The following is a 7,288-nucleotide window of genomic DNA, read 5'->3' as shown; positions in this document are numbered from 1 at the left end:
GCAAAAGTTGCTACTGGAGAAGAATAGCGGTATCAAACCAAAAAACATCTTACCTTATATGCTGAGAGGTTTGGACTGTATTCTAGAGCAATATTTCTAAACCTTCCATTGTATCATTAAAGTTATGTTTTTTTTAAAGGAAAGTGCTGTCATAATGCCATCTACATGGCAGAAAAATATTCTAGGGGCTGTTTGGAAAATGTAAATGGGAGATAAACACTTGAAGACAGGAGACCAGCTAGATAGTTTCTGGAAGAGCTAAAGGAAACAATAACAAGTCTCTGAATTATGGCAATATCCTTAGGGGAAGAAGCCATAGGTTTGAGAGATATTTCTTAGGCAAAACCAACACAGCCTATTAGACAAGATAGAGAAAGTGAGGTAGAGAAAGAGTCAACTGAAAATGATCTAAAGAAGAGCAACAGGTTATCAAGGATTCTTTTGTCCAAATAACCTTGTGTCCAGGAGTGTAAAATGCTGAGGGAATACGACCCTGATTAAACAGTTTTCACTAGAGGCAAATAGAAGCAAAGCCATTGTAATGGACCATCCAATGGACACAACAGGGAGGAAAGCTGAGATCCCAACATGGCAGCACAGGAGCCTGCAGGGACTTTGAAATGAAGGAGACAGATTTCAAAAAGAGGGCTGTGAATGGCATCAGAGAAATCCTTCTCCTAGTTTACCTAAAGTCAGGTTTCAGCATAGTTGAAGAATTCAGAAGAGGTAGAGCAGTAAACACTCCCTAAACTTTGTCCAATAACATATAGGTTACTCAAAAACAGTTTTCCAAGTGAAAAAAAAAATAGTGATGGTAAACACTAACAATTGGTACTTAATATGTGATCTTTTAATGTCAAACCATCAATGGTGGTAAAATTTTTAAATCGTTTACTTAAAAACTTTCCCTGAGGTGAAAAGCAATATTTAGTCACTTGATTAAATATGTCAACTACATAAATGTATTAAAAAATAAAGAGCAGCCAGTAACAACTGCTATTATTTTGTTATATTCCTTTTTATGCATAAACTAGTTTTTATCTAATGTTTTACTTTCCCATATTATAAAATACAGTTTTCCCATATCCTCCAGTTTAACATTCTTTTCCTTATCTTTCAAACTAAAATTGGCTCAAACATCAACTTACTTACAGTAGGAAATCTAATGAATGCTCCGTATACTTCTGGAAAATCTTTAAGAGTTTATCTTTTTCCAGAACAAACAGTTGCTGCTTCCAGTGAGTTACTGATGCCTTCTCTGAATTTTGCCACTCTTGGGCACATGGTTTATTCCATACTATCCTGCTCTAAACAGCAGCTGATAAATTTATTTACCAATTTACCAGCTCAAGACTGTGTGACTATATACTTTACTGAAGATCTAATACAATAGAAGGCAATTATATTGTTGGTCAGTACAATTAAAGATGTAAAATTGAATATTAGATGTTCCCCCTTCTTAAAGCCCTCTCAACCATCAAGGTATTTTATTAATCCAAAACCACTCTCTTCCTTGGAGGAATTCTACTGCCTGTCCTTAAAATAATATTTTTACTACCAATATAAGGATAAATAAATCCTATTTTCATAGCTGAAGAACATTTACACCATAGCATCAGAAAGAGATAAAGGAAAAGTGTAACCATAAGCCAGCAAGTCCAGTAATTGACATTTTCATGAGTGTTTTGGAAGTACCATAGAAAGACATTTAGCTCAGCCCAGGTGAGAAGGAGGATCACTAGCTGATCACCCCAAAGTTGAGTTTGATTAAATAAATAGGATTTATTTATCCAGAGAAGTGAAGAGGAGGTAAGAGGACTAGTAAGGCAGAAAGATCAGGGTAAGCAAAGACTCAAGAGCAACAGACAGCTTGATGTTTCCACGGAGCTAAAATCAGCTAGGTCACACTAGCATGGAGAGGTCTGGGAGAGGAAGAAAGTGGAGAGGTCACAGAAAGTCTACCATGTCATGTGAGGGTGTCTACGCCATTTGCTGAGAATGGGCAACCATTGAAAAGTTTTGAGAGAAAGCAACATGCTTGCACTCTAGCTGCCTCAACCTCATGGTGTATGGATTTGAGGAAGGCAGGACTGGAGGCAGATTTTGAAAGTGAAAGCAAGAGCTATTTCAGATGAGGGACACTCCTGAACTGGAGCAGCAGTGACATAAATAGAGAGAAGTCAAATTTAAAATAGCTGGGGATGTACAACTGACAATGCTTCGTGCATGAATGGGTATTCAGAAAAAAATTCCTCTAAGACAACTGATGGATGGGAGGAATAAATTTGACAACATAGTAGATGAATTTTCTTTCTTGGTCAGTAGCCTGCAAAACTGCCATGGAACAGACTTTTTTTTGCTTCCGTCTAGGAGACTGAGATCAATTTTATTTATTTATAATCCCCACAGGGCATTATGACATCCTTTTCAACCATTCTAAAAGTCATTTCTCACTTAGCGTTAGATTAAAAAAAAAGAAGAAGAACTTTTAGAAGTTGATATGAGCGGGGTAACCATGGATAGGGTATACGCTTTTCCTTGGACTTTCATTCTTAATCCTGACTATTCCTGTGATAGCACAAGGCATTCATGCTGCCAGGCATCCCAGGGATGACCCAACATAGTTAAAATACTTTTATTCTCTCCTGGCTTTTATCACCTCTAATGGGACCCTAACTTACATATTCTCTTTCATTCTTCATTATTTTTTCCAGGAGAAGATACGCCTGAAGCACTTTCTGTGCTCATACAATCTCTTCTTTCAACTTTATATCTCTCTGAGAAAGAACTTTTATAAACTAGGTTATGTAAGAATATCTCAGATGTAAATGCCGATAGAAAAGAGAGGTACAGCAACCTGGGAAAACAACCTTTAAAAATACCCACTGTAGCTTCTTTGTAAGCATGAAGCTGGTATCAGATTCCAGTGTAATTACTCAGCAAATGCCCTTTTGAGAAATGGAACTCCTCAAAACTTACCATCACATAAAAGAAAACTCAAAGTGAATAATACCCAGAAAAATGCAAATTAAGACAATAAGACATGACTGGCAAACGTTAGAAAAATAGAAAAAGTCAAATGTAGATGGGAATTTGCAGCTCTAGGAGGCATCTGCTCTGCTGGAAGTGTCAGCTAGGCAGCCATACTGGAATACAAGCTGGTATATGGACTTAGTAAATACACACTGACCCTATGACTCGGCTTGCATAAAATGTGTGCATATCCCCAACTCATACCACAGGCCACTCAGCTCTATATGAAGCACTGCTTGTGCCGGTAGGGAATCTAGAGGAACCTGGATGTGTAAAACTGTCAGTGGATCAGTAAAATGTGGAATGCAATTAGAAAAAGAAACATAGATGCACACGTTATTCAGATGAATATTGAGAACAGTATTTTCGTGAAAAATGTAGGTCAGAAAAGATGTATATCAACAATATTATTTACATAAACTAAAATACATTGCACATAAAGCAATGTATGTTTTGCAAGAACATATGTAATAAAGACAAATTAAACACACTAAGTACTTAGCTATGCAGAAGAAGTTGTAAAATTTGAATTGGGCCAGGAAATAAAGGAAAATAAACACTTTTATGTCTAAACGGTCATTTTTCTGATCTTTTGCATTTTTCTATCTTTGATTCCTGATTTCCCTTCACTTTTCTTTTTCTGTCTCTATTCTACCAACAGTTTCTTTCAAATTGAAAAATAAAACTTTGAAGAAAACATGTGCTCAAAATGTGGAAATAGGCCGGGTCCAGTGGGACACACCTGTAATCCCAGCACTGTCGGGGGCCAAGGCAGGCAGATCACTTGAGGTCAGGAGTTTGAGACCAGCCTGGCCAACATAGTGAAACCCCGTCTCTACTAAAAATACAAAAATTAGCTGGGCGTGGTGATGCACACCTATAATCCCAGCCACTTGGGAGGCTGAGGCAGGAGAATCAACCGAACCTGGGAGGCAGAGGTTGTAGTGAGCCGAGATCGAGCCACTGCACTCTAGCCTGGGCGACAGGGAAAGACTTGGTCTCGAACAAACAAAAAACCCCACAAAATGTGGAAGATAAGAAATAAGCTGGAATTCACAGAGTGTGGTCAGGATATATATGCTATAGCAATTGCAGAATGATGTTTGTTTTTTGTTTTAATGCTGCAAGTTTTTTCATCAACAATAAGGAAGTAGATATGCATTAGTCATTCAATTTTCAATGTTATGTGCACTAGTGCTACTTTCAAAACCATTTTGACCATAAAACCACCCAAGGTACTTGTCAAATGGAGAGTCCAAACACCCCTCCCAGTACCCTGATTATTCAGATCAAAAGGTGAAGAGTATGGCCAGAAATCTGTACTTTTAATAAATACCCTAGGCAATCATATGAGCAGGCAAATTGGTAAACACTGGCCAGGCCTATCCAAAATGTTCTTTTCCTTCCTAGGAGGAAGTATCCATTGGCTGCTTTATTGTGAACATAATAATGAAAATGAGAGCTACTGCTTATTGGATGCTGGTTATGTAACAGAGCACTCATTTTCTCATTGGTACATCCCAACAACTCTATGGAACAGGTAATTCCATCATTCACATCTTAAAAATGAGACTGCGTAGCTTACATGAATAAATATAATTTGGCCAATAACAAACTAATTAGTGGTAGAAATGGTCTTGAAGCTGAGTTTACCAGATGCCTAAGTGTATACTCTTAACCATGACAGCATATGATTATTTATTTTACAAGTGTATGGATGATTATAAGGTATGTATGAGGTAGTTTTTTGTTTATTTTTCTATGTATTACTAGTAAGCATTTGACAGAATAAGTATCTAGTAAGCATCTAGTTTTCATCAAAAGGCAGTTAACTTGAGACCCACTCACAAAGCATAACCCACACACAGTTTCAACTGCTTTGCCTGTGTTTGGTTACCACCTAAGCAAGGATGCATGTGATGTATCAGGGATTGCCCAGTTATCCTAGTAGTTCTCTCAAAGCCTTCTCTTTGCTCTGAGCTGTAATTATCTCTCAAAGCTAGTATTCAAAGTTGGTGGAGAAAGTGTCCTCTAGGAGCAAAAGGAGTATCATTGCTATAAGGCCACACGTAGACATTGCTGAGTGAAGATCTTGATAAAAACAAGGATTCTGTATTCCTAAGCAATTCTCTTGAGATTTCTGTACTTAGATCTTCTACAAAATTCCTTCAAAGATTCGAGCCAGTTATTAATGTGCTATTCTACATGCTGAAGAGAAGTTAGCTCAACTGATTGTACACAAACAGGAAATAAACAGCATTTAAAACTGTTATATTTTAACAAGTATTGCTGTGCAGAAAAAAAAAAAAGAGAGAGAGAGAGAGAGACAGTATCCTTATGGATTTTTTTCCTTTTTTTTTTTTTTTAATTTCAAGCAAAAAGATATTACATATAATACAATTTCTTTGTTTTGATTCACAGGTTATAAGCCATAAAATATGACTCAGAGAAAGTTGTTTGGAAATATTAGTAAAAGAAAAAATGAATACTATAGCACTCTAAGTGCAATTCAGAATTAAAGGACAGTATAGAAGACTACATCTAGGTTATAAATCAGCACTGTCAACAGCTTTTAAAAAAGATAATATTAACTTCCACATAGTTTTTTTGGCTTAAACATGCAGAAAACTCCTATTTTCATCCATGTCTTTGCCAATTGAAATGAACGAAAGAATATGAAGATAAGAAACCCTTCATGGACTCACTCAGGGAACTAAGAAGAAAGTCTGATCAATTAATATGAGATGTAATAGAGATAGAAACAAATTAAAAGTCTGACACTTATTCAAACACTTCTTTCTGAGAAAAGCACATGGTTGACATGGTGAGGGAAGGGTATGCCAGCACCCCTGTTTCACATCCCTGTATGGAAAAGTTATTTATCAACTTTCACCCATTTTCTTTACTATCAAATGATGGCCACCGAATCGATTCATTATTTCTTTAACATTGCAAACTGGTGATTTCTCATCCTATCATGCTTTCTATTATTTGCTAGGACTTTTCTGTATAGAACTTTCCCTTACCCATACTGGGTGTCATTTACCCTGAAATATATTTTACACGAGAAAGACAGGATCAGTGCTTATGGATTTCACTCTTACATTCAATATTCTGAGTAACAAGTTGATGCAAGCTCCAAAATATTCAGTGAGTGTTGTTTTTTGTGTCTATTTCCTTTTCATGATGTTTTAATATAAAATAGGTTTTAGTCAATTGAAGTAACTTTGAACCTCAGGTGGTCCCACCATAGGCCAGTGGGAACCCCTGAGAGCAGGTTCCAGTGTCCTTTTGGTGCAAGACCAACAGTGTCAGATCACTTATTTGCTTTCAAGCACAACAACCTGTCCCAGGATCAGTTTGTATATTTCCTATTTCAAACCCGATATAATGTGGATCCAGATTTTTCAGAAGCAGATTACACAGTTTGAAGGTCCTCATTAAGAAAAAAAGTGCAAAGCTGTGAATATAAAATAAGATACAAAAGTAAATATTTATATAGAATGGCAAAATAAATAACAACAAACAAACTATAACGTTTTAAAGTACACATCCTACAAATATCACAAAATCCAGTAAAAAGACATAATATTCTTACTAACTGTTGAAATATCTTTGTAACACTTTTTCTTACATTTTTGCCTGAATTCTCTTCATATGACAATAACTTTATAATATCTTCTAAGCAGAGAGTAGAAAGGTAAATCCTTCTTTCCTCTATAATGCTTCAATAAAAAGTGATTATTATTATGTTGGTGCAAAAGTTACTGTGGTTTTTGCCATTAAAGGTAATAATATTAAGTATTGGGAGAAACTATCAAGTTTCTTGCAGACTTACACTTTAATATTTGGAGGTATTTCCATAGTTAGCTTCTGGCTCTGTTTATCTGAAGCTTTTTTCTGCTTCACTATTCTCACACTGTTATGGGCAATAGAACATGTTCATATCCTCATATGACCTCAGCCTTGCCCCTCCTTCTTAGGATATTATATTGATTCCTGTAGAGGGGCGCATTCTATATCAGAACAGTTAACAGTAACATCAAGAGACCATTAACTACATAAGAATATATCCCTCCTCAAATTTTCCTTAGCATGATCTCTAAAATCCCCATGGCCAATTCAAAACTACCCAACCAAAGAAGAATTACGGCAAAGAGAAAATCAGAGTAAAAGTAATTGCAACTTAAAATATCATAGTTTTGAGTATTTTGCAAATATATATATATATGTGTGTGTGTGTGTGTGTGTGTGT

The sequence above is a fragment of the Homo sapiens genome, chromosome 18 (assembly GCF_000001405.40).
Source record: "Homo sapiens chromosome 18, GRCh38.p14 Primary Assembly".
Taxonomy (NCBI): domain Eukaryota; kingdom Metazoa; phylum Chordata; class Mammalia; order Primates; family Hominidae; genus Homo; species Homo sapiens.
This window is presented reverse-complemented; position numbering follows the sequence as displayed.